The sequence below is a fragment of the Homo sapiens genome, chromosome 10, assembly GCF_000001405.40.
Source record: "Homo sapiens chromosome 10, GRCh38.p14 Primary Assembly".
NCBI classification, from domain to species: Eukaryota; Metazoa; Chordata; class Mammalia; order Primates; family Hominidae; genus Homo; species Homo sapiens.
The window spans coordinates 47965091-47992748 of record NC_000010.11 but is presented as its reverse complement, the minus strand read 5'-3'; the positions used below and the strand labels follow the sequence as shown (position 1 = coordinate 47992748).

At 44.2% G+C, this 27658-nt stretch overlaps 1 protein-coding gene across 1 annotated transcript in view, besides 4 other annotated features; it reads left to right on the top strand.

The window, feature by feature from the left end:
- The first annotated feature begins 952 nt into the window (after positions 1 to 952).
- Positions 953 to 27658, top strand: part of ANXA8 (annexin A8) — a 523804-nt gene continuing 497098 nt past the window's right edge. The window contains exon 1 of the mRNA XM_006717951.4: positions 953 to 1069. Within this exon, the coding sequence (XP_006718014.1) occupies positions 977 to 1069 (93 nt within the window). The 5' untranslated portion in view covers positions 953 to 976. The remainder of the gene's footprint in view (positions 1070 to 27658) is intronic.
- Positions 3782 to 4732: an enhancer, noted in NCBI's record as "OCT4-NANOG-H3K27ac-H3K4me1 hESC enhancer chr10:49196054-49197004 (GRCh37/hg19 assembly coordinates)". NCBI's record gives its function as "activates a minimal SCP1, AML or CMV promoter by ChIP-STARR-seq in naive and primed H9 embryonic stem cells {active_cell/tissue: H9 hESC(naive and primed)}" and the evidence as "EXISTENCE:reporter gene assay evidence [ECO:0000049][PMID:30033119]".
- Positions 5590 to 6233: an enhancer, noted in NCBI's record as "H3K27ac-H3K4me1 hESC enhancer chr10:47769223-47769865 (GRCh37/hg19 assembly coordinates)". NCBI's record gives its function as "activates a minimal SCP1, AML or CMV promoter by ChIP-STARR-seq in naive H9 embryonic stem cells {active_cell/tissue: H9 hESC(naive)}" and the evidence as "EXISTENCE:reporter gene assay evidence [ECO:0000049][PMID:30033119]".
- Positions 20527 to 21026: an enhancer, noted in NCBI's record as "H3K27ac-H3K4me1 hESC enhancer chr10:47136815-47137314 (GRCh37/hg19 assembly coordinates)". NCBI's record gives its function as "activates a minimal SCP1, AML or CMV promoter by ChIP-STARR-seq in naive H9 embryonic stem cells {active_cell/tissue: H9 hESC(naive)}" and the evidence as "EXISTENCE:reporter gene assay evidence [ECO:0000049][PMID:30033119]".
- Positions 22338 to 22632: a silencer, noted in NCBI's record as "tiled region #8752; HepG2 Repressive non-DNase unmatched - State 20:ReprD". NCBI's record gives its function as "represses a minimal TATA promoter and a strong SV40 promoter by Sharpr-MPRA in HepG2 cells {active_cell/tissue: HepG2}" and the evidence as "EXISTENCE:reporter gene assay evidence [ECO:0000049][PMID:27701403]".

The following is a 27658-nucleotide window of genomic DNA, read 5'->3' as shown; positions in this document are numbered from 1 at the left end:
CTCCAGGATGAGCGGGTGGATCCCTGGAAGCGTGGTGAAATGGGCTGGCTCCCGAGCCAGCCGGGAGGACGCTTACTACAGCTGCTCAGAAGCACCACTGGAAGCTCAGATGTAGGTGCCCCAGCCAGAAGCAGAGAGGGGTTCAGAGAAGCTACAGAGAAGCCCCTCCTGATGCCCCAGGGAGCAAGCCAACTCCTTCCAGGCTCCAGGAACACCACAAAGCAATATGAAACCTGTTCATGAGAGGAACCAGGAATGCCTTCCACCAAAGAAACGAGACCTCCCCATGACCAGCTGCTCCACTAACCACACATCCTCCAGTGATGCCTCTGAATGGTCCCGAGGGGTTGTGGTGGCCGGGCAGAGCCAGGCAGGAGCCAGAGTCAGCCTGGGGGGTGATGGAGCTGAGGCCATCACCGGTCTGACAGTGGACCAGCATGGCATGCTGTATAAGGTGGCTGTGCCGCCTGCCACCTTCTCACCAACTGGCCTCCCATCTGTGGTGAATATGAGCCCCTTGCCCCCGGAAAAAAAAATAATATTGCATATGCAGTTGATTAAATGGCATACTCCACGGCTATTAGGAATGATGAAAATGGGCTGGGTGCGGTGGCTCATGCCTGTAATCCCAGCACTTTGGTAGGCCAAGGTGGGCAGATCACCTGAGGTCGGGAGTTTGAGACCAGCCTAATCAACATGGAGCTGTGTTTACTGAGTGGGGCTTTCGCAGGCTGGAGCTAAGAATTTCCAGTATGCGTAACAGCCACAGCCCAAATACCTGCCAGAGAGTTGTGTAATTCCCCAGAGCAGGCCTGGGCAGTGTCTGGGTGGGGCCTGGGAGCCACAGGAGACGCCCAAAGCCAGGCAGAGCCCGGGGGCGAGGGGGCGGCAGGCAGGTGTAGCGCTGCCCTGGGCGGGCTTGCACCCCCACACCCAAGTGAGCGGCCTGCTCACTCCTCAGCTGCAGGAGCCAGACATGTGGAGTCCCAGCAGAGGCCAACCTGTGTCTCTTCATCTCCGTGAGAAAGGTGCCCCCGAAGTGAAAGAGATGGCCTGGTGGAAAGCCTGGGTAAGTGGGAGCTGGCAGGAGATTTGGGTTCCTGCATGGTGTTGGGTGCTGGTCACCAGGGAGTCCTGAGAAATGTAAAGTCGCCCTTGGCTGGGAGTGGCTCAGTCTACATTTGGCTGCCTCCTGGGCCAAGCATGGAGGGTGGGAAGGGGCCGAGAAGAAACAGCCCCAGGCCTAGAGTGCCCACGGCAGGGATGGGACCTGGGCCGGGAGACAGGCTGATGAAGAAATCTAGAAATGCAAGGGGGAAGCTGAGGTTTGAGAAAAGTCCAGGGGAGGGACCCTTGCAGGGGTGGGGCCACTCAAAGGAGGGGGTATCATGGTTGAGCCTTGTGTGTAAATGTGTATGGGGTGCACACACGTGTGCATTTGGGGAGAATCAGGCATACTGCTCCTGGCAGAGGGAACTGTGTGCAGAGGGTCAGAGGGCGGGGAGCTTGGCTTTGAGGGAAGCTGCTCAGCACAGCTCAAGGGTCCTGGTACCGGAGGAGATGGACCTGGGGAAGCAGGCAGGGCCAGGTCCTGAAAGGCCTTGCCTGGCAGGCTGAGGAGTTAGGCTTTACCTTAAGAGAAGTGGGAAGGCACTGAAGGGCTTTGAGCATGAGAGTAACCTGAACCTGCTGTTGGGGACCCATCAATGCCTTCACCTCAGGGATCAATGATGTTCATTTGTCAAGACTGGAGAGGGAAGAGGGGAAGCAGGAGGACCTGGCCTGCTAGAGCCTGGAGGAACCCGGGGCTCAGGGCAGCCCATGCCCAGCAGAACTGATGGGTTCTCGGGAGCTTTCTGTCTATGGTTGAGCCTGAGGCCATCGCTGTGCTAAGGAGTTGAATATCCAGAAGGGGACAGAGGTGACATCTCCCGGCTGCCGGCTCTGCACACCCTTTTCCTTTCCTCCCAGGCAGCCTCAGGATGTCAGGGCTGCACTTTCTGTTTTGCAGATGATGAAATGAAGGCTCAGAGACACTGAGTGACTTGCTAGGGTCCAATGGCCAGCAGGCTCCAGTCAGAGAGCAGTTGGGTCTCTCTGCCCAGCCCCAGGTTCTCTGTGAGCTTTTGTGGGATACCCAGGCTTGTCCAGCTTCAGGGAGTCTCTGGATCATAGATGTCGCAACCCAAGCAAGTGTCCTCAGGGTCAGACATGCTAGGTTCTGGACAGGTGGGACAAAGAGGAAGCCAGGCTGAGGTGGGGCAGCTGTCCTGGCCCCCAGGGAAGCAGACTTCTTCCAGGACAAGGGGCCATGGAGGCCTGCAGCTTCAACCAGACTGCTGGGAACCTGCCTTTGAGGAGGTGGACATGGCAGGGAGAGCCCAGTGCTGGGTGGTTTCCAAAGTCAGTTGCTGGCCAAGGTAGTCTGGCACTGGGCCTTGCACCCAGTGCAGCAGGACAAAGGGCTGTCCATGTAGGGACCTGCCAAATTGACAGGATCACTGTGACACTCACTGAGTCCCTACTCTGTGGCCGGACCCTTCTCTAAGCACCTCACATTCAATATCTCCCTTGAACCTCACAAGGAGTCTATGAAGTAGACACCAGTATCCTTATCCACAGATGAGGAAACTGAGGCACAAGTAGGCTAGGCAGGTGCCCGAACTCACTAGTAAGTGTGAGAGTCTAGGTGAGAATCTGAACAGCCTGACTCCAGGGCCAAAACCATACCCTGGTCGTCCATACCCCATGTGAGAGCTGGCTCGGGGTAGCAAGTTCACAGGTAGACCCCACCTGCAACAGCTGAGCTGCTAGCGAAGACCCAGTGTCCTCTAGGCACAAAGCTGGGCCAGGAACGGGATGGGAGGAGATGAGGGAGCCACTGGAGAGAGATCTGTCTGCAGGCAGGGCCCATCTGCACCTCTCTTTTTGGTGTTGCCTTTTCCTCTGTGTCTCTCATAGAGACAAACCCATCTCCCAGGCCTCTGGGCAGCCACATAGCAGGGGAAGGCCAAGGCGTGGCAGCTCCCCTGTGCCTGTCACAGAACAAGTTATATTAATAGATGTAGTCACAGGCTGGTCTGAGTCACCTTTTCAGTGAAAATGTGCCTGTCTGGACTAGCACGGCCCTGGGCAAGACCCTGCAGGAGCCTGAGGCTGACCCTTCCTTCTCAGCAGGAGGTCTGGAGCTCCAGGACTCCACACTGATAGCCAGGGCTCCGATTCCCAGAACACTTATTTTCTAAAACCTTAGAGTGGGAAGTGAGACAGAGGCTTCTCAATGCAGCAAAATCAGAACCAGCCCGGGAGCTGCTTACAAATGCTGCACCTGAGACCTACCGCACCCCTGCGGGACTGCATGCTCCTCAGGGATGCGGTTACACAGCCTGGGCACTCGCTGGTGCACCACAGCCCCCGAGTGCTGGGGCAGAGGGAAGCCGGCAGGCACTGAGAGCTGAGATGCCTCCCACATTCCCAGACGACCTGCGTTCCTGTGGGTGAAGCTTCCTTCAGTGGAACGTTCCAGGAACACTCATTGCCTGGGAAAGGTGGAGTCATCAGTAGGGCAGGGGAGGTAGATAGAGCTCAGCTTCTGAGTCAGGCTGGGGAGTCCCAACAGCATCGCTTACTAGCTGTGTAAGGGAGTCCAGATCCCTTTCTGTAAAGTGAGGCATCAGTACTTACCTAGCACAACTGTTGAGGAAGCCATGACATAAGCATTGCTTCTAAAGCACCTGGCCCAGGTCTGGCACACACAAGGGGCTTGAAGTGCTAACAGGAGTAATAGCAGAGCGTGACTCCACAAGCAAGGGATATCGTGTGTGTGGACACCGATGAGCACAACTTTATTTGTTTTTAAACATTCAGGGCCTAGTAGATAGCAGGCTTTCAACAAATATTTTTGAATAACAACAAACAAGAGTATGGACTTTGGGAACAGGAGAGCCTAGTAGCCAGCGAGCCTGAGCCAATCCTTGATGGCCTCCAATTCTGAGAAGACTCTCTGGGCCCCCTTAGGCTCCCTGTGGAAGAAAGCTTCCCCAGTCAATCCTAATAAAAATACTTCTGAGACAGATCTAACAGGACAAAGTGGAGTCTCTCCACTCTTTCAGTAGCTCCTTCACCCCAGGTGCTGTTTGGGGTTCTGACACTGCCATGGCATGGCCAGCAGGATGGCCCCTAGGGCTCCTGGGGCTGCTCTATAAGAGCTTCCCACCCCTGACCTGCAGTCCATGAGGGCAAGGCCAGATCCGGGCACATGCCCATCTGTGTTGTTCTCATGCTCTCAGGGGGTAGAGCTAGTGTGTTGGACTTGGCATGTTTAGGGTCACCTCCCTGAGGGTTGACAACCTGAGCAAAATCAGCATTCCCTTGGCAAGGAATAAAGGGGGAATGGATTTGTGGTCAGCAACCCACATCGTTGGTCAGCAACCCACCGCCAAGCATTCTGCCTGCAACAGGGTGGGGCTGGCCAGGGGAGGCTCCTCAGGGAAGGTGAAAGCTGTGCAGAGTTTTGCAGGATGACTCAGTGCTTATCAGGTAGACAGATAAGGAAGAACATTCCAGGGAGAGGGAGGAATGCTAACAACAGCAGGGGATCTGGTCTGTACTAGACATGCCAAAGGAATGGTGTGTCCATATCAACAGAGGAGGGAGAGACAGAAGAGAAAGAGCTTGTCAGGGCCTGAGTCAGAGCGGGCTCATGCTGTGGGGCTAAGAAGCTCAAACGATTTCCAGAGACAGTGGGGAAGCTTTACAGGGACAGGCAGGGGAGGATCTTAACCCGGCTTTCGTAAGCCTCTGGCTTGAGTATGGAAGGTGAGTCTGGGACAGGGAGCCCAGCGCCGAAGTGTTGCAACAGTATAGGGAGACATACAGACCAATTCCCTCCCACCTAACAGCTCTGTGCTTTGGGGTCCTGGGTTAGTTTCCTGGGAGAAGGCTGGCCTTGGCTACCTCTGTCCTTGACCAAGGACATCGTTTTAAATATTTGTGATGTGTCCTAGGCCACTGCATCTCTGTCCCTGTAGCGAAGAGAAGATACTGATTCCTAAGCTCCTACTCTGAGAACACAAATATCTGCAATACCTCGGTAAGCCCTAGGCCTGAGTGTGAGGTTGCAGGCACTTCCATGGCCCCATGCAGGTGTCCAAGTTCCCTCGTGGTATTTGGCCAAGGGGGGCCCTGTGTGATGCCCTAGCGCGGTGACTACCCGTGTTCCTGGCCCATGGGCATCTTCCACGGAATTCTGGGCTTAGCCTGGGGATTCATGCGGGCGCATCTCTGTGATCTGCTCTGGAGCAGGATGTACATCAGGTCTCTCAGACCTGAGTCCCTGGTGCCTGGCGCTCAGCCTTGACTGAAGTGCTCGGCCCACCCTGCTGGGCCAGCCAGCTCCTGCTCAGGGCCACAGCCCTGTAACCACGGCTTCCTCCCCAGGACTCAGGAATTCTCCCACTCCGGAATGCCTTGCTGCTGGGGTGACCAGGTCTTCACTTGTGAAACAGGAGTCGGCCACCTCAGCCCTGCGCCTGGCCTGGTGGAACATGGGTCACCGCCCCAACCTGGGGCAGCCGCCCCATCCCAACGCAGTTGCTGCCGCTCTCCATGCCTCCCTGTGCCCAGCTAACCGGGGGACTTGTCCCCTGGGAAAACCTGGGTACCCAGGCTGCCTTTGGTTTCAGCCCCTACTCCTCTTCCCGGGCTGCCTGTGCTCCCCGGACGGCCCCTTTCCCCGGGCTGTGTTCACATCAGCTGGGAAGGGTCCCTTGCAGACAGATCTTGGACGAGGTCGCGTCCCCCCTCGTGACCAGCAAACTCCTAAAAGCGGCCCTTGCCCCAGAGCCCCTGTAGCCTCCAACCGGCAGTCAGGAGGCAGCGCCGTCTCAGCGCCGCTTAGTGGCGCCAGGCGTGCCTGGAAATCCGCTTTCGCAGCGCCCCCTCGTAGCCGCCTCCGCCCGCAGAAAGGCGTTCCCTGGACAGAGAAGCGGGCGCGCGGGGGCGGGCGCGCGGGGCCTTGCCGGAGAACCTGACTCTCCGCAGCAGCAGTGGAAGCCGGAGTGACGCGTTGTGTTGAACACCAGTTTTCTGGAGCGCTGTGTGTTCTCAACAGCTGAGCAGTCTGTTTCTCCAATCAGGTTTCAAAGCCACTTCAACTGCACTGGCCCCTGTGGGTCACTGCTGCACCGCCCTGGCCCATGTGGGTCCCTGAGGAGCGACCTGCCGGGGCCACCTGGCTGGACGAAAAAGACACACCTTGGACTTAAGCCGTGAGAAAAAAACTTCATCAGTAAGAAACAAGTCAATAGACAAGTAAAAGACTAGGAGAAAATATGCATAAAACATAAAAAAGTGACTTGATTCCTGATTCTGGAGTATTTAAGAATTCCTATAACTCAACAAAAAGTTCAGTTTTTTAAAATGAGCAAAAGGCTTGGGTAAACTATTCACAAAGGAACGTAGACAAATGCCAGTACACACATGAGAAGCGCATACACATCCACAAACTTCAAACAAGCCCACCTCATGTATTTCTAGTGAGTAAGGAAAAGAACGCAAACACTTTTGAAAATTGTTTGGTTGTTTCTTGTAAATTTAAACAAATACCCTATTATATTATCCAGCGAGTCCATCCTTAGGTTTTTATCCAAGGATAAAGAGGTGAAAACTCATATCTAACAAATAGACTTCTGAAAAGATGAAAATAGAAGCTTTATTCATAAAAGACAAAAACTGGAAATAACCCAAATATTCATTCACAGGAGAATGAATAAACAGACTAGGTTGAATCCATACAATGGAATGGTAGCAGACAATAAAAAGAAAATGAACTATTGATGCCCCCTACTGCACAGCAGAAGCTCTGAATCGTGTTCCTGAATGAAAGAAGTCAGGTATGAAAGAATAAACATTGTATGATTCCATTTATATGAAAATGAATCTGTGATTTAAAAATCAGACTAGTATTAGGTTGGTGCGAAAGTAATTGCGTTTTTTGCCTTTTTTTTTTTTTAATAGTTGCTTTGGGGTTTATGGATGGAGTGGCATGGTAGAGGTTAGCTGAAGGGGGCATGAAATAACTTTTTGGGGGTGCTAGAGTGTTGTAAATCTTACAGTGGGGGAGGGACAGGAGTGCAGGCATTTGACAAAACACATTGAATTGTGAAATTTAAGATTTTTGAATTTCTTTGTATGTAAATTACCTGCCAATAAAAACATGACGAATAGAGCAGTTATGAGTATTTGTGTGTAGCTTTTTGTGCAAACTTAAATTATAATTTCTCTGATAAAAGCCCAGGAATGTGATTGTTGAGTAATATGGTAAGTGCATGTTTTTTGAGAAACTGTCAATCTATTTTTGGGAGTGGCTGTGTGTATCATGTTATATTCTCACAAGCAAGGGATGAGAAATTTGGTTTCTCTGCATCCTTGCTAGCATTTGGTTTTATCATTATATTTTTATTTCAACTGCTCAAATAAGTGTGCAGTGATTTCTCATGATCTCAATTTGCATTTCCCCAAAGGCTAATGATGTTAAGTATATTTCCACATGCTGATTTGACTCGGCCATGAAATGTCTCTTCATGTCTATTGCCCAATTTCTTATCAGATTTTTTTTTTTTACTGTTGAGTTTTGAGAGCTCTTTATGCATTGTAAATGTGAGTCCTTTGTCAGATACGCAGTTTGCAAATATTTTCTCCCCTCCATAGCTTGTCCTTTCATCATCTTAACAGAATATTTTGCAGAGGCAAAGTTTTTAATTTTGATGAAGTCCAATTTATCAATTCTTTCTTTAATGAATCGTACTTGGGTGCCATGCCTATGAACTCATCCTCAACTCCTAGGTCCAGATGATTTTCTCCTGTGTCTTCCTATCATAGCCAGAAACTAGAAAAGAACCAAAATGTCCCTCACTAAGTGAATGCTTAAACTAAGTGACACATCTATGCCAATATTCAGCAATAAAAAGAAACAAATTATTCATGCAAATAACTAAATGGATGGATCTCAAGAGCATTAGGCTAAGTGAAAAAAACCAATCTCAAAAAGTCACATACTGTACGATTTCACTTGTATAACATTCTTCCAGGGGCAAAATTATAAACAGTGAAAACAGATTAGTGGTTGGCAGGCGTTAGAGGCGGTGGTGGGGAAGTGTGACTACAAAGAGGTAGCAGGAGAGATCTTGGGATGATGGGATAGTTTTGTGTCTTGGTGGTTACAGGAATCTACACATGTGATACAATGTAATAGAAGAACACACATTGTGCTAATGTCAGTTTCTTTGTTTTGATATTGTTTTGTAGAATGTAAAACGTAAACAGTGGAGAAACTGGGTGAAGGATATTGGGACCCCTTCACAAATTCTTGTCAATCTATGATTATTTGAAAATTTAAAAGTCTAAACATGCATAAAATAAAAACCTAAAAGGCAAAAAAGTAATGCACGCACTTGATAAAAATCAAGTAGTACAAAAGAGTAAATGGTGAAAATAAATCTCTGCACCACTCTAGAGACCCCAGCCAAAGTCCTCTCCAAACTCTCTCACAGTTATTAAGTTTCTTGTATATGCTTCTAGAAATTCATCTTGCATATGCTTCTAGAAAATCAAGTAGTACAAAAGAGTAAGTGGTGAAAATAAATCTCTGCACCACTCCAGAACCCCCAGCCAAAGTCCTCTCCAAACTCTCTCACGATTGTTAAGTTTCCTGTATATGCTTCTAGAAATTCTCTAGGAATACGCAAAAATATATGTACTTTCCCTACTTCTCTAGCTTTTGTCTAATGCTAGTCTTCTTTCTATTTTTAATTATATGTATTTAATATATCTTTAGGAAAAATTAATACTTTTTAACAGCAGTGTAAGATTTCATTGTGAATGTACCATAATTTATTTAACCAATCTCTACTCATTTAATCTGTTTTTGGTTGTTTAGGCTGGTTTCGGTAGCTTGTTATTGGAAGTTATTGCAATAAACATTCTTATATTACTTTGTATCATCATAGGATAGACTCCTAAAATATTGTGTTTAGATCAAAGGGCATGTGGAATTGTACTTAAGATAGATTTTGTCAAGAAGTCCCCATTCTCATCAGTACAGAAGGAAAATACCAATTTCCTAAACCTCTTACTAAGACAGTACATCTTCAAAATTTGATCCTCACTCATCTGGTGGACAAAGTATAGTAATTCAGTGTTTTAGTTTGACTTCCCATGATGACAAGTGAAGCTTTAAACATGATGCTTTTTATATATTTAAAGGCCTTTTGTGTCATTTTCCTGTGAACTGTTGGCTCAGGTCCGTCCTTCAGTGGAGTTTAGTGAATCTGCCTCATTTCCCTAATCAATTCTGTCTCTTACCACTGGAAAGGAATACCACAGTTGTTTACCCATTCGTTGACGGACATTTGGATTGTTTCTACTTTTCGGGTGTTATGAATAATGCTGCTTTGAAAACACTTGTGCAAGATATTGTGTGGATATAGGTTTTCAGTTCTCTTGGGTATGTATCTAGGAGTGGAATTCCTTGGTCATATGATAATACTACACCCAACTTTTTGAGGAACTACCAAACTGTTTTCCAAAGTGACAGCACCATCTTATGTTCACACCAGCAATGAATGGGGTTTTCAATTTCTCTGCATCTTCACCAACACTTCTTATTGCCTGTCTTTTTCTATGAAAGCCATCCTAATGGGTGTGTAGTTGTATCTTATTGCGGTTCTATTTGCGCTTTCCTAATGACTAATAATGTCAAGCATCTTTTCAGGTGCTTTTTGATCATGAGTATATCTTCTTTGGACAAATATTTATTCAAATCATTTGCCCATGTTTTAATTAGGTTATTGTCTTTTATTGCTGAATTGTTAGAGTTCTTCATATATTCTGGATACAAGTGGCTTATCAAATTTTATATATATATATATATATATATATATATATATGATTTGCAAATACTTCTTCCCATTCTGTGGGTTGCTTTTTGACTTTCTTGATGGTGTCCTTTGAAGCACAAAAGCTGTCAATTTTGATAATGCCCCGCTTATTTTTTTTTGTTTGGTCACTTCTGCTTTTGGTATTATATCTAATAATCCTTTTACCAATCCAAGGTCATGAACATTTGCCTCTATGGTTTTATAGTTTTAGCTCTTACATTTAGAACTTTGGTCCATTTTGAGTTAAGTTTTGTACATGATGTAAGGTAAGTGTCCAGCTTCATTCCTTCACATGTGGAAATCCGGTTGTCCCAGCATCATTTGTTAAGGCTTTTTTTTAATCCTCTTGAATTGTCTTGACACCTTTGTCAAAAATCAGTTAACCATAAATGTGAAGGTTTAATATTGGATTTTCAATTCTATTACATTTCTAGTATTGGGCTATCTTGATTCCTAGACGTTGGTAGTAAGTTTGGTTTTCTTTGGGGTTTGGGGGGGTTGTTTTGTTTCATTTTGTTTTTGAGATAGGGTCTTGTTCTGTTGCCCAGGCTGGAGTGCAGTGCCTTGATCATAGGTCACTGCATCATAGACCTCTTGGGCTCAAGTGATCCTCCCACCTCGGCCTCCCAAGTTGCTGGGACTACAGGCACACACCACCACACCCAGCTAATCTTTTTTTATTTTTTGTAGAGATGGGGTCTCATTATGTTGCCCAGGTTAATCTCAAACTCTGGGCTCAAGCAATCCTCCCAACTTAGCCTCCCAAAGTGCTGGCATTACAGGTGTGAGCCACTGCACCCAACCTGTATTAAGTTTTTAAATCAGGAAGTGTAGTCCTCTCTCTTTCAAGATCATGTTGGCTATTCTGGGTCTCTTGCATCTGCATGTGAACTTCTGAGAAAAAGGCACACAATCTTTCAATCAAGATTGCATTGAATCTGTAGACCAATTTGGGAAACATTGACATCTTAACAATATTAAGTCTTCCAAATCCATGAACATAGGATGTTTTTTCATTTATTTAGGTCTTCTTTAATTTCCTTCAGTGGTGTTTTATTGTTTTCAGTACGTACAAGTCTTAGACTTATTTGTTGAATTTATTCATAAGCCTTTTATTTTGTCTGATGCCATTGTAAATGGAATTCTGTTCTTAATCTTATATTCAGATTATTCATTGCTAGTGTGTAGAAATACAATTGTTTTTCATATTGTTCTTGTATCTGCAATCTTGCTGAACTCATTTATTAGTCGTAATAGTTATTTTGTGAATTCCTTAGATTATGTCATCTGTAAATATAGTTTACATCTTTCTTTTCAATTTGGATGCTATTTTTTAAATTTACATACTTATTTGCATAATTGCCCTAGCTCAGATCTCTAATACAATGTTGAATAGAAGTGGTGAGCATGGACTTCCTTTCCTTCTTACTGGTCTTAGAAGGAAAGTATCCACTCTTTCACCCTTTGGGATGATGTCAGTTGTGGTTTTTCATAGATGTTCTTTATTAGATTTCATAAATTCTCCTCTATTTCTAGTTTTATGAGTGTTTTATCATGAAAGGATATTGATTTTGTCAAATGTTTTTTCTGCATCTATTGAGATTAGGTGGATTTTGTCCTTCATTTTATTAATGTGGTGTATTAATTAGATTTATTTTATTATGTTAAACCAACTTTGCATTCCTGAAATAAATGTCACTTGATTGTGATACATAATCATTTTTATATGTTTCTGGGTTTAGTGTGCTAGTATTTTGTTGATAATTTTTGTATTAATATTCATGAAAGATATTGCTGTGTTCTCTTAGAATGTCTTTTGTTTTGGTATCATGAGAATAATGACATCATAGAATGAGTTGAAGTTTGTTTCTTCTATTTTTGGAAAAGATTGTGAAGAATTGACAATAATCTTTTTTAAATGTTTGGGAAAACTAATCAGCGAAACCATTTGGTACTGAGCTTTTTTGTGCATGGTGAGTTTCTTAATTACTAATTTAATCCCTTTACTTACTAAGGTCTATTGAAATTTTCTATTTGTTCTTGATTCAGTTTTTGTAGTTCCTGTCTTTCTAGGAATTTTTCCATTTCACCTAAGTTAAAATTTTGCTGTCTTACAATTGTTTATAGTATTCCTTTATAATCCTTTTATTTCTATGAGGTGGTAGTGGTGTGCCCTATTTCATTCTCTAAACATTATTAATTTAATAATTTAATTCCCTATACATTAATAATTTAATAATTTAATGTATAGGGAATGAAATAGGGCACATAACTTTTTTCTTCTCAGTCAAGCTAAAGGTTTACTAATTTTATTGCTCTTTTCAGTGAAGCAATTACTCTTGTTTTTTCCCTTAGTGTTTTTTCTATTCCGTTTTATTTATTTCCACTACAATCTTTATTATTTTCTTCTTTCTGCTTGCTTTGGGCTTAGTTTGCGCTTCCTTTTCTACTTTCTTAAGGTGGAAGTCTGGGTTATCGAGATCTTTCTTCTTTTTAATATAGGCATTTACAGCTATAAAAGTCTCCCTAAGTATTGCTTTGACTGCATCCCATACACTTTGATATGTTGTGATTTTATTTTCATTCATTTCAAATAATTTTCTAATTTTCATTGTGATTTCTTCTTTGACCCATTGATTATTTTGGAGTGTGTCATTTAATTTCTACATATTTGTGGATGTCCGAAATTTCTTTCTGTTTTTGGTTTTGAATTTCACTCTGCTATTGTTAGAGAACATATTCTATATGATTTCAATTATTTTAAATTTACTGCATTTTGTTTTATGGATGAATATACATGTATGTGTTTTCTATTGCTGCCATAACAAATTACCACAAATTTGCACCTAACACAAATTTATTATCTTGTGGTTCTGAAGATCAGAAGTCTGACATGTCTTACTGGGCTAAAAATAGGAATCTGTGTGGTTGTATTCCTTTGTGGAAATTCTCGGAGAGTTCCCTTGTTCATTCGAGTTGTTGGCAGAATTCAGTTCCTGCAAGTTGTAGGACTGAGATTCCCACTTCCTTGCTGGCTGTCAGCTGAACTGTTCCCAGCTTCTAGAAGCTACCCACATTCCCTTATTAATAGTCCCCTTCCTCCATCCTCAAAGGCAGCAATGGTGGATCAAGTCCATCAGTTTAGTAGTCACTTAAACCTTTCTCACACCTCAATTGTCTCCTCCTCCTTCCATTTCATCTCCCTACCATGGTTAGGAAAGTGTCTCCACTTTTAAGAACTCATGTATTTTGATTGGGCCCACCCAAACAATCCAGGGTAATCTCTGCATCTCAAGGTTTATACCCTTAATCATATCTGCAAAGCCCCTTTTGTCATGTAATGTAACGTGGTTCCAGGGATTAGGGCATGGATATCTTTGGGGGCCACTATTCTTCTCATGACAAGATTTATTCTTGAGAACATTCCATATACACATATAAAGAATGTCTATTCTGTTGGTGGTGGTGGAGTGTTCTGTGGGTAACTACCAGCTCTAGTGGGTTTACTGTTTTTTTCAGATCTTCTATATCCTTGTGGATCTTCTGCCTAGTTGTTCTATCCATTGTTGAAAGTGGAGTAATGATGTTTCCAACTATAATTGTTGAATTTTCTATTTCTCACTTCAGTTTTTGCTTCATGTATTTGGATCTCTGCTATTAAGTGCATATATATTCTTAATTGCCATGTCTTCTTAATAGATTGAAACTTTTACAATTATAAAATGTTTTTCTTTGTCTCTTGTAATAATTTTTGTCTTAAGAGTCTATTTGGTCTACTGTTAGTATAACTAGCCACTCCAGCTCCCCTTTGGTTACTACTTTCATGGATTATCTTTTTCCATCCTATTACTTTCAACCTATTTGTGTCTTTGAATGTAAAGTATGTCTCTTATAGATAACAGTTGATTCATTTTTTAAAATCACAACCTCTGCATTTTGATTGGTATGTTTACTCTATTTACATTTAATATGATTTACTGAAAAGATAGGCTCTACACCTTCCATTTTGCTATTTTTATATGTCCTACATCTTTTTTGTTTTTCTTTTCCCTCATTACTGTCTTCTTTTGAATTCAATTGATATTTTCTAGCATATCATTTTAATTCTTTTGTTTGTTTTACCATATATTTTTAGTTATTTTCTTATTCTTGCCCTGGGGATTATAACATTTTATCATAAAACAATCTAATCCATATCAATCCAACTTAATTTCAACAATATATTTAAAGATTGCTTCAATATAGGTCCATTTCCTGCCCCCTTCCTTTGTGTTAATATTATCGTACAAATTACATCTTTATACATTATAAGCCCAACAACCCAGTTTTATAATTACTCATTTATGTAGCTATTTTTAAATCAGATAGGATAAGAAAAGAATTACAATTAAAAATACATTATACTGTCTTTTTAATTATGTAATTACCCTGCAGTGCTCTTTATTTCTTTGTGTGGATGAAGTTACCATCTAGTGTCCTTTCATTTCAGCCTGAGAGACTCCTTTTAGTATTTCTTGTAGGGAAGATCTACTCATGATGAACTCTCTCATTTTTCATTTATCTGGACATTTCTTCTTTTTTTTCAAAGATACCTTTGCTAGATATAGAATTCTTGGTTGACAGTCATTTTCTTACAATACTTTTAATATGTTATCCCATTGCCTTCTTGCCTGAATGGTTTTGATAAGAAGTCAGTTGTTAATCTTATTGAGGAATTTGAAGCTAGAGTGTATATGCTGAGTTATTTTTCTTTTGTAGCTTTCGAGATTCTCTTTTTGTCATTGGCTTTTGATAGTTTGACTCTGATGTATCTAGGTATGGATTTCTTTGTTTTTATACCACTTGTAGTTCGTTGAATTTCTTGAGCATGTAAATTAATGTTCTTCATCAAATTTGGGAAGTTTATGGCAATTATTTCTTCAAATATTCTTTCTGCCCCTTTATCTCCTCTTCTTTTGGGATTCTCATTATATACATATTGGTATGCTCTCTGAGGCTCTGTTCATTTTTCTTCATTCTTTTGACTTTCTGTTCCCTGGATTGTATAATCTCAATTGACCCATATTCAACTTACTGAATCTTTTTTCTGCCTGCTCAAATTGGCTGTTAAGCCCCTCTGGTTAATAATTTTTTATTTCAGTTGCACTTTCAACCCAGAATTTTATTTTTTTCCCTTTTTTATATAATTTTCTATCTCTTTATTGATATGCTGTATTTGGTAAGACATCATTGTCATGCTTTTTAACATTCTTTAAACATGTTTTCCTTTAGTTGTTTAAACATGTTTTTAAGACGTGTTCTAAAATCTTTGATAGTAAGTCCAATGTCTGGGCTTCCTCAAGAAAAAGTTTCTAATGGCAGCTTTTTCCCTGTGAATAGGTCACACATTTTGTTTCTTTGTATTTCTCATATTTTTTTCTTAAAAACTGAATGTTTTAAATAAAATAATGTGGCATCTCCAAAAATCAGACCTCACCCCTCTTCACAATTTGTTGTTGCTTCTGTTTGTTGTTGTTGCCGATGCTGCTGTTTCTCTGTTTCGTGAATTTCCTGGACTAAGTTTTAATGTATACTTTTTGTCATGTGTAGCCACCGAAGTCTTTCCTCAGTTTAGTTGTCCATTAATTTTTGGACAGAGATTTCTTTACATTCCTTGCACAACTAAATCTACCTACCTTTGCTGGGAAGCTTTGTTTGTGTTGAGCCATGCCTTCGATGCTTCAGCAAGCAGCTGACAACTCTGCCTCAGAGTTTACTTCCTGCTTGCACAGAGCCTCAAAGCCAAACAAAAGTTAAGCTCTAGTTAGATCTGTCTTGGACATGTGTACAACCCTGCACGTGCACATGGCCTTCTAGGTTCTTAAGAATATGTCAGAGTTTTTCCAAAGCCTCTATGAATACCTCATTCCCCAGTTTTTCCTTGTAACTGTTTTGGTCAGCCTCTTATTAGCCCCAACTGGTACTGCCATCTCAGGCAGTTGCAATGTCAAACAATTTTTGCTGATTGTTTTTGACAGATTCCCTCAGGATAGGGCTGTTCACACAGACTAAGCTCCAAACCATGTTAAGCAAAGACAATCCCTGGGAATGTGCCTTTTCCAGGGAGCTGTCAGACAGATCAAATAGTAACAACTTTCTGAGGATGGGATTTTTGGAGAGCTCTAAACCTATTCTGTCCTCCCCAGTGGCTACCAGGCTGCTGGTTTTCACAGCTGTCATGGTTGTGAGAATGTTAATTGTGTGTGTGTGTGTGTGTGTGTGTGTGTAAAGACAGAGGTTGTCTCTGTGTTGTCCAGACTGGTCTCAAACTCATGGACTTAAGCAATCCTCCCATCTCAGCCTCCCAAAGTGCTAGGATTATAGGAGTGAGCCACCATGCCTAGCTGAGAACATTTATGTTCAAGTCTATCATAGAGCTTGGAAAAGAAGACTACGAATAAGGCAAATTAAAACACCACAAAATTTGCTATTCTTACTGAGATTCAGCTGTGTTTCTTGAATAAATCTAACTTGGATTGCTGAAAGCCTTTGGTTAATTTCCAGGACTCTGAAAATGTTAATTTTGACATTTTTGCCAGTGCTCTCATTGTTGTTAAGGAAGGATTTTCAGAAGTCCTTATTCTGACATTCTGCAAGTGTTTCTCTTGGTTTGAGTTTTCATGTGATTGTTTGGGGTAGTTGTTTTTATTTTTGTTGTTGTCTTGATTGGTTTTTGGAGAGATGGTTTTCTACTGGATACTCCTAGGATTCTTTTCTTTGAAGGCAAACATTCATTTTGTTAGGATCTGTCATCTCAGCATTGACTTCTCTAAATCAATTTACCCTTCAGTCAGAAAATTCAAGTCTTCCTTTATTTCAGGAAAGTTGTTCTGAATATTGAGTCTAAGTTTTTTTCTATTCCATAGTTCAGGTTTCCTAACCAGGGGACAGAATGTCCTCCCCTGCACTGAATGGCCTCTGCCTTTGTTTACTGAAGACTGCCTGAGTATCACTTGCAATTTAAAACAGGGCCTGTCTGTAGAGCCTTCTCTGTACCCAGGACAGTTTAGAGGCGTGTCTGTGTTTCCACACCAACAGTAATTATAGTAATAATGATTACTACAAGGTGAGCATCTAATGCTTTGAAATCTGATATCATTTAATGACCCCAGCTACCCTGTGAGGTGGGTATTATCTTCATTTGCAGATGAAGATACTGCAGCTTAGTCAGCAGACTAAGTCACCTAAATGCTCTGTCAGAAGCGGAATTTGTACTCAGGAATGGCCAACTGCAAAGTCCATGTGCTTGAACAGTATGGCATACTGATACATGCACCTGCCATGACCAGAACACAATACAGTGATCTGGCAGCACTTCGTGGCTCACCATCTCTGCTATACTGATAACAACTTGAGGGCTGGACCTACTTATCTTATTCAACAAGGACCCTCTCAGAGGTTAGGGTTGCCCAGTGCAAAGATAGCAAGTCATGTGACACATGGGCCACCTCACCCCTCCTGCAGCCATTGATAACTTTCTTCTTTGAACATGGCATTCTTTCGCTCTAAGCCCAGTTAAGAATTCAGAATCCTTCTAGGCCCAGTTTTTAAAGCAGCCACCACCAATCTATTGGTGCTGACATGAATTCAAAAGATACTTTCTATCCCTTATCTAAATAGTTCATAAGATGATGAGGCTGAACTATGGAACAAATGTAGTCCATCAGAGATTTCTAGAAAAAAAAAACAACTCTCAATAGTCCTAGAAGTTTGGAAATGAGTATTAATCCCAGGATAATCCAGACACATCTTGTCTTATGGCCTGATGCCAAGTGATGTGGCCCTTATCTAATAGCACATTTGCATTTTAAATGAGTAAAGCTGGTTAAACCTCTTTTTCTAATTTCAGCTATTATTTTATCTACAAGGGCCTCATAGACATTCACTCCACCCAACAACCACAGAATATACATTCTTCCTATCTGTACACAGAACATATTCTCAGATCAACCATATGCTGAGTCATAAAGCAAGTCTCAATAAATTTTAAAAAATTGAAATTATACCAAACACACTCTTGGACCACAGTGCGATAAAAATAGAAACTAATATCAAGAAGATCTCTCAAAACTACACAAATACATGGATATTAAACAACTTTTTCCTGATTAACTCCTAGGTGAAAATCAAAATTAAGGCAGAAATAAAAAAATCTTTGAAAGTAATGAAAATGGAGATACAACTTAACAAAGTCTCTGGGATACAGCCAAAGCAGTGTTAAGAGGAAAGTTTATAACGTTAAATGCCTTCACCAAGAAGTTAAAACAATCTCAAATTAACAGTCTAAGTTTGCACCTAGAAGAACTAGAGAAAAAGAGCAAACCAACCCCAAAGCTAGCAGAAGAAAATAAATAACTAAAATTAAAGAAGAACTTAATGAAATTGAGATGCAAAAATCCATACAAAAGATAAATGAAACCAAAAGTTGATTTTCAAAAAAATAAACAAGACTGAGAGACCACTAGCTAGATTAACAAAGAAAAAAGAATTTCCAAATAAGTACTGTCAGAAATGACAAAGATATTACAATTCATCTTCATTTGCAGATGAAGATACTGCAGCTTAGTCAGCAGACTAAGTCACCTAAATGCTCTGCCAGAAGCAGAATTTGTACTCAGGAATGTCCAACTGCAAAGTCCATGTGCTTGAACAGTATGGCATACTGATACATGCAGAAATACAAAAGATCCTCAGAAAATACTGTGAGTAATTCTATGCACACAAATTAGAAAATCTAGAGGAAATGGATAAATTCCTGGGAACATACAATCTCCCAAGATTGAATCAGGAAGAGACTGATACCCTGACTAGACCAATATCAAGCTCTGAAATTAAACCAATAATAAAAAACCTACCAACGACAACAACAAAAAGCCCTGGACTAGATGGATTCACAGCTAAATTCTATCAGACATACAAAGAACTGGTACCAATCCTACTGATTAAACCTCTTTAGGTTCTGCTTTTTGTATTGTTAAAATCTTCATTTTTGGTTTTCTAACGGTCTCTGATTCAAACATTCGTTACCAATAAACAATCCAGGTAGCCTCACCCTGAGTGGCAGCCTGGCTGGGTGAGTTCTAAAAATGCCCAAGACCTCCAAGACTAGGTGAGATCTGAAGTAATGAAATGCCTCCATTCACTAAAGGCCTGAAATTGTCCTGACTGCCTCAGTCCCACGGACCAAGAAGAGCCTTTCAAGCTGTGATCCCAATACTTGTGGCTGCTGTGAGAATAAGGAAAGCAGCCTAGGCCTCCAGTGGAAGGATCAGATGTTTGCCCTTCATACCTCAGAGAGCCTTCATCCAAGTAAGATGGGTGGTGAGGAGCTGTGGATGACAGCATGAAGGATGAGGACTGATGCAGCAGCCATAATTAGATTATAGGTTTCCATGGGATGTGCCATGACTGCTTACAAATGGGGCCCAGCCATGGAATTGAGTTATCAACTAAGCTGATTCCTGAGGCACAGATCATCCTGTCCTCCACAACATGATTAAAGACTACATGATGCTCAGGAAGACCTCTGCAGCTGTGTGCTTGGAAGAGTGTGTTTTTCCTGCTAAAGCATAAGAAAAAAGAGACCAGCAATTATTATCTTAGGCCTTGCAGCATCCTTTCTGGTCCCACAAGTTTGAGAAGGCAGGTGTGTGTGTGTGTGTGTGCATTTGTGTTTGTGTGTGTGTGCACGTCCACATGCATGCATGATCCTACAATGGAAGTGAGTACGCAAAAGTTGATTGCCTATATACCCTCCCCACAACCAGGTGTATAAGAGTGTTCTTTGAGAATGAGAAAGCAGGAAGGAGCACATCCCACACCTTAGCATTCATGTAGTCAATTAGGAACTCCTGAGCTCCCATGACATGCTAGACCCTGGGCTCAGCACTGGATCTCAGACATGTCCCAAACTGGGCGATGGAAGTGGTGGGAAGCAACCACTCATGGACAGCTTCCCGTGTGCCAGGAGTGTGCCAGCATTGACATTATGCCGTCTCTCACTCCTGCCCTCCATCACATTAGTGATTCTGCCATGAGTGACTCGTTCCTTTGGGTTCCTGTTAAGTTCCTGTGGAGGGGTCTAGCCACAGCAGGGGAAAGAGCACCGAGGGAGCTTTTAGGAAACTCTGCTCCAGGTCAGCTGTGTGATGCTGAAAAAATGGCTCACCCTCTCTGGACCTGTTTCCTCTTTTGCACAATAAGAGGGTGGTGTTCTCCAAGGTCTCCTTGAAGATCCGACTTATCCTTGGTCATCACTTTGCAGAGGGCAGGTCCTGTCCCCAAGCCCACCAGAGTGGAGCTGGGAAAAGTTCCATGGTGAAGAAAAGGCAGGGGACACAACTCTGAGAGTCATTCCTTTGAAGATTGAGCCCAGAGGGCTCAGTTTCTGGATTGCATGGGGCACTTTGTCTCTCTCTGCTGGAGCCACGCACCCCTGGTGCAGTAGTTTCTGCCCTGCCCAGACTCTGGTCCCAGAAGGTTGACATAATGAGGAAGGAATGAGCTTGCCAGCTCTGCCATGACCAGCAGGCTGCCTTGGGCAAGTGCTTCACTTCCCTGAGCCTCACTTCCTCTGCCTCATCCCTTCTCAGAGACCACTCCTCATTTACCATCCTAAAGTCTGACCCGTCCTGACAACCATTATTCTCTCTCCATCCCCTGGTTTTTCTCTTTAGGACAGTTACTGCATTCTCTATCTCTTGTTGTTTCTTAGGTGGAGGAGGTACCTGCCTCCTCCCTACCTAGAACGTGAGCCTAGTAAAGGGATGGGCCTCACCTGTTTCAGGTTTGACCTCCAATGCCCGTCACGTAGAAGCTCAACACCATTTCCAATGCCAGAAGTGACAGGACAACAGCAACAATAGCAATATTTCTGTACCACTCCCCTCACTTTCCAAAGAGAAGTAATTCCCAGCTTGGACCTTCCCTTGCTGGGAGGGGTGCCCAGGTGTGGCCTCTCTGTGACCTTGGACCCTGGCTCCGGCATATGCCAGCCTGGCCTTTCCCCAGGGTAGGGAGCTGGCACCCTGGGCATTCCCCAGCCAGCATCCAGCCTTCTTGGGCAGGGCCTTTCCACACCATTCCTCCCAAATCCTCACTGGCCCACCCTGGAACAAATGCAGGCGGAAGCTCGCATCCCCACCTCTGCTGTTTCTGCTGGGTCCCCAAAGAGCTTTCTTTAGGGAAAAAGAAAGCAGGCCAGTGCCTGCTCCTTTTAGACCCCACAGTGGGGCATGGGGTGGGCCTTGGTTGGCCTTAATTTTCCATTCACCTGAGGAGTGGCTCAATCTCACTCATTCCCATTGCAGGTGGATGTCAGCCAAACTGGATGCATAAGGTTTTTGTGATTTAGGAGTTGCAACAGGGGAGATAAAACGCCTAGGAATGTCTTCAGTTGGAAAAAAGGGGCACGATCCTCACATTCTGTAACCTGAGCACTTTATCTCCTCTCTCCCCTTCCTTCACTGATACAAGAAAGGAGACTCCAGCACTAGTTTCCTCAGTCCTTCTGCAGGGCGGGCCTTCTCACGGCCTCAAAGTCATGGAGAAGAGTGTGCACAGGACACCTCACTTTAAGCAAAGCCCATAGACCGTATTTGAGAAAAGGAGTTAAATAAAGAGGCAGCCACCAACAAACCAGAGCCCTGTGGTCACTCAGGTCCCATAGACTCTAGAGGTCAAAGGGCCTCCGAGCATTTGAGAATCAGAGAGGGCAAGTAACTTGGCTGATATCACATAGCACGAAGGTGGCAGAGCCAGGATTCCACCTGCTGGCCTCCCAGATGTCTTTCCTGTTGGACCCTGCTTGCTGGCCACTCCTGGTGGGGGTCACTCCACCATTAGTGTGTTCATCAAACTGACAGTTGTGGTCCAGATCCCTTGCCTCTGGTGTGCCCAGCACCTTAGCTGGCACCTCCCTCAGCAAACCCAGCCTTCGCCATCCTCCCAAGCATACTTCCCAGGGCTGTTTTGTCCATTACGGTCCCAGAATATAAGGCCTTTGGGTTTTTTCAGGGCCTGTGAAAAGGTTTGAAAAATGAAAAACACACTGGCAGTTCCAAAATTCTCAAATAAAACTGTAGAAATGCCTTAGGAATTAAATATGTAATAAGATGTGAACACTTCATTACACACCTACAATTAGTCACATGCCTACGATATGTGAATAATGTCAGGTCAGCTAGTGAACTGTTATACAGTAATTGCGCATCACTTATATAGATATACACAAAGTGCACTTACTGACTTGGATGTGTGTGTTCATTGTTTGAAGTGGCGTGGATGGAGGCTCCAAAAGATAAAAGAATGTAGGGGAGGTGACTCTTCAAATGGCCCTCACCCACCCCTTACCCTCAGCTCACCCACCATGAAGCTTCCCCTTCCAAGGAGGACACACCTCCTTTCCTAGAACATTCTTCAGTGCCACAAGCTGCTCAGTCAGCCCTGATTCTGGAGTCTCCAGTGAGCGAGGCCTGGGGTGGCCCCAGTGGGATGAGCCACACTCCCCACAGCACTCAGCCTGGATGTGGCACTGGCTGCACATAGCAAGAGGCAGCTATTGGACACCTGCTCGCCACATGTTCTGTCTTATCCTCCCAGCAACACCGAGTGAGGGAGGGAGTGTTAACCCACCATTCACCAGGTTTACCAGAGACCAAGCCCAGGATCTCTCCACTGCACACTTTTAAAAGGGTCCTTTCAGCTTCCCATTAAAGAAGTTTGTTCCTTTGTTCCTCCTCTCCTGTTCTTCCTAAGACATCATCACTGAAATTTAAGCTTATAAATTTAAAATGAAGTAAATCTATAAGGGAAAAGCATTAAAAAAGAGAGAAAGATGGCTTACTAATGGATGAGAGTCCAACACATTTCTGGAAGACAAGGTTCATGAGAGGCCTAGCACTGTGGCTCCCACCTGTAATCCCAGCACTTTGGGAGGCTGAGGCAGGAGGATCGCTTGAGGACAGGAATTGAAGCCTGCAGTGAGTTACCGTCACACCACCCTACTCCAGCCTAGGCAACAAAGCGAGACCCCATCTCTTAGAAAAGAAAAAAGAAGATTCACAAGAGGGTGTGGCAATATTAGACAGGCTAAGCCCCCAGGTGTACCCAGTGTAACCACAGGGGCCCTTCGGTGGAAGGGAGAAGCAGAAGAGGTCAGAGTGAAGCCACACCTGCTGTGACAATGGAGGGAGAAAGTGGCTGGCCAAGGAACTCCATCAGCTTCTAGAAGCTGGAAAAGGCAAGGAAACAGTCTCCACCCGGAGCCTTATGGGAACACAGCCGCCTCATGGGAACACAGCTGCCCTGTGACACTGATTTTAGCCCCGTGAGGCCCATGCTGGACTTCTGGCCTCCAGAACTGTAAGATTTGTGGTGCTCTAAGCAAATCATAAATTTGTGGAAATTTGTTACAGCAGCAACAGAAAACTAGCACAGGCAGCCTACGTGCTAATTCTCATCTTACCTGAGGTGGGGAGTACAATACACCCTGCGTTAGTTGGAAAGCTGAAACAATTCTCTAATGCTAATACTGAAATTGTCAGGTCGGTGTAACTGTGACAGTCCGGAAGCAATGGAGGCTTCAGTGAGCAGGACCAGCTGCCTTTCTCACCACCACAGCTTGATCTCTCTCACAACTTCCTCTCCACCTCCACTGACCTCTGGGTTGGTTTTCTCCTGCACGATCTTTCCACGTGTCAGGGGCCTGGAGGCACCCTACAAGAGCTGATTTTACATTTCCTTCCTAGAGGTAATCCCAGAACAAAAGAGAGCAGTTTTATTTATTTTTTTCAAGAGAATTAAATTGTTTATTGATTACACATGATAATGGATGATACACAAGCTTCATTCCCATCTATAATTTAATCTGGTACCATTATTCAATTAGATATGTTACATAGGATGTGCCAACAATTACTTTTATAACCAATAATTCCATGATTTTGCTTGGGTAATCCCTTTTAATGGTGACTGAAATCATGACTGACCGAGTCAGTGGCTAGAAAAGGGGCTTTGCCTTTGTAACTTTTGATGACCATGACTCCGTTGATAAGATTGTCATTCAGAAATACCATACTGTGAATGACCACAACTGTGAAGTTAGGAAAGCCCTGTCAAAGCAAGAGATGGCTAGTGCTTCATCCAGCCAAAGAGGTCGAAGTGGTTCTGGAAACTTTGGTGGTGGTCGTGGAGGTGGTTTCAGTGGGAATGACAACTTTGGTATTGGAGGAAACTTCAGTGGTCTTGGTGGCTTTGGTGGCAGTCGTGGTGGTGGTGGATATGGTGGCAGTGGGGATGGCTGTAATGGATTTGGTAATGATGGAAGCAATTTTGGAGGTGGTGGAAGCTACAATGATTTTGGCAATTACAACAATGAGTCTTCAAATTTTGGACCCATGAAGGGAGGAAATTTTGGAGGCAGAAGCTCTGGCCCCTGTGGCAATGGAGGCCTATACTTTGCAAAACCATGAAACCAAGGTGGCTATTGGCAGTTCCAGCAGCAGCAGTAGCTATGGCAGTGGCAGATTTTAATTAGGAAACAAAGCTTAGCAGGAGAGGAGAGCCAGAGAAATGACAGGGAATCTACAGGTTACGACAGATTTGTGAACTCAGCCAAGCACAGTGGTGGCAGGGCCTAGCTGCTACAAAGAAGACATGTTTTAGACAAATACTCATGTGTATGGGCAAAAATCTCGAGGACTGTATTTGTGACTAACTGTATAACAGGTTATTTTAGTTTCTGTTCTGTGGGAAGTGTAAAGCATTCCAGCTAAGGGTTTTAATATAGGTTTTTTTTTTGCACCCATGCTGTTGATTGCTAAATGTAATAGTCTGATCATGACGCTGAATAAATGTCTTTTGTTTTAATGTGCTGTGTAAAGTTAGTTTACTCTGAAGCTATCTTGGTAAATTTCCCCAACAGTGTGAAGTTAGAATTCCTTCAGGGTGATGCCAAGTTCTATTTGGAATTTATATACAACCTGCTTGGGTGGAGAAGCCATTGTCTTCAGAAACCTTTGTTGTAGTTGAACTGATAGTTACTGTTGTGACCTGAAGAGAGCAGTTTTAGTAGTGAAAGTCCTGCAGGATTCCTAGTGGTCAAGATTGGGGAGCATGCCTGTATCCCACAGTGGCCAGGGCCCAGGACATATGCCTGGCCCTGTGACTGGCTGGTCATGGGCACAGGCCCCCGGGAGGGAGGGGAGAGTCCTTTCAGAAGAAGGGGAGGGTATGGGAACAGACCCAACCTGACCGCCCCAGACCGTTACTCTCCCTGAGGTGGATGGAATGCAGAATCAAAGTACAATTATATGGTTTAAAGTTTTAAAAGTAAATAACAGAAAACTAAAAATAATTATGCCAAAATGATAAAACTTTGGAAGGATGAAGGGAGGAAGCAGAGGTGCATAATGAGGCCATTTCTTATGTTCCGTCACAGGAGGTAGATAAATTTTCTCCAGATGAATAAAAAAATAAGGGTGCCTATACATGCTACTAAGCATTGTGGAGGCGCCCACCAGAAGTACTAAAAATGGAAATGTTTACAAGAAGTTGCCTCTGGAGAGTGAGGCCAGGACTGGGGAGGGGAGAGGATAGAAACTGTTTTCTCTCACCATAAACCCTTCTCTCATATTTGATTTGTTCCTATCTGTTTGTTTTACATTGATCACAAGATGTGCTGTGAGAGTGAAAGATTTTTAAATATTTAGATGGATGTCCTGAGCTTTGATATGAAATGCTGATCTGATCAATATCTAATATGATAACTCCATTTGGGATAAAATTTTAGGGTCATGGGGAAAAAACATAATTTGGAATCATCTTCATTCATATGCAAGTTATGCTTTTTAAGAAGGAAACTCCTTGATTCTCATCTGCTGTGCTGAATCTTTAGGAGTTTAACCTGCTATGTCACATGTTTCAATAAAAGAGAGATGTTCCCAGCCTGTTAAACAACAAACTCGCCTGCTTAAATCAAAAAGCAATTATGAATGAATGATTGAACTCTTGTCATCACCCTCTCTCCAGGAGAGAGTAAGGCACATTCATTCTCACAAGAAGACCTGGCCTCACCCCATTTCTCTGTTTCCCAGGCATATGGCTCATCTGCGTCCAGTGTATGTTTGGCCAGGACACTGGACATGTCCCACTTGGCTCCTGCCTCTTGCCCCTGCCAGTCTGGCCTACAGCCGTGGGTCTGAGGGGAGGACTGGGAGCCATCAGAGACAGCAGCTGGCCAGGATCTGATTTGGAGGCCTAGTACTCAATGCAGAGTTACTCTTCAGGCCCCAGCTCCTTCATGCAGGGCTCCTGGGCCACATATTCAGAGTCAGATTCCCCACCCTTCTCCAGGGATTCGGGTCATTGACTTACACCAAAGCTGGAAGCCATAAATCAGGAGACTTCATTGGTCTCATTCCTGAACCCACCCCTGCAACCTTTGGTCATCGCCCCATAGGCCAGCCCTGGCCATCCACCCATCTCCCTGATGCTCCCTCCATCCTGCTCTGGGACTCCTCTCCTTCCTGCTCTTCCGCCACGGCTGACTCTGCCTCTTCGTCACTGTTCCACTGGGAGGCCCATTTCAGAGCAAATGAACCCTCTGTGTCATCAGCCTTTCTCTCCTCCCCTGGGGGCATACTCCTTTGCCCTAGATGGGGGCTTCTCACTCTCCCACTTCCAACTTGGCTAAGGACCCAGCAGGACAGGGAGCCTCTTCCTCTTCCCCTTTGCCCTCCTCCCACATCCCATCGTCTTTCGCTCTCTGGAGGTTGGGGGGAGGGGCAGGGTGGAACAATTCCCCCAGCTTCTCACTCCCAGGGCCTCCCCTCCATGATCACCGTCTCCCTCTCCTCCCTGAGGCCGGAGGCCTGGCCATGCCCGTAGGGACAACGTCTCCCCAGCTTGGCCTTGGTGCTCTGGGACCTCCCCAACTGCACAACAGGCTCCCAAGCCGGGAATGCTTTTGTCTCAGCTCCCCTCTAGACCTGGGGAGCCCTCCATGGAAAACCACAGTCGAAAAATGGATTTAGTATCTGCATTGTTCAGGGTCATGGCAAGAAATGGCATTGAATGCTTCAAATGATGAGACTTTAATGGCAGTAGTCCTTACAGAAGTGTGGCCAGGTGAAGAGGATGAACAGGGATGTTGAGAAGCACGAAAACAAACAACTCTAGGATGCTGTTACTCATGGGGCTAGACAGAGAGGAATAGTGTTGCCACAGCCAGTAAGAGCTAGAGATGTGGAGAAGGGGTTTCCAGCAGGAGCTGATGTCTTGGAGAGACACAGCCTTGGGGAGGGGCAGTGGGGACGGGGTGGGGGGATACACTGACCACTCTCTCTCTTCCTATACTTTTGCCTTCCAGCTAGAGTCTCCCACTGGCTAATTCCAACCTCTGCCCAGTCAGTAAGAAAGCCTGAGAGGCAGCTTAAAGACGTCAGGTTCCCAGGGTCAAGCAGGACACATGGCTGTGGGGGTGGGGAAGGAGAGTGGGCAAACACCCTGAAACTAAAAGGAGAGTAGCAGTGCAGAATCCAGGGCCACTGAAAACAGTTCCCAGAGTCCAACTCCGTCGTTTTGCAAATGGAGAAGCCAAGGCTGGAAAAGGTTAGTGATTTTCCCAAGTCACACAAAGTTCGTGGCCAGGCTGAGCCCAGACCCCAGATCCCCATCCCCCC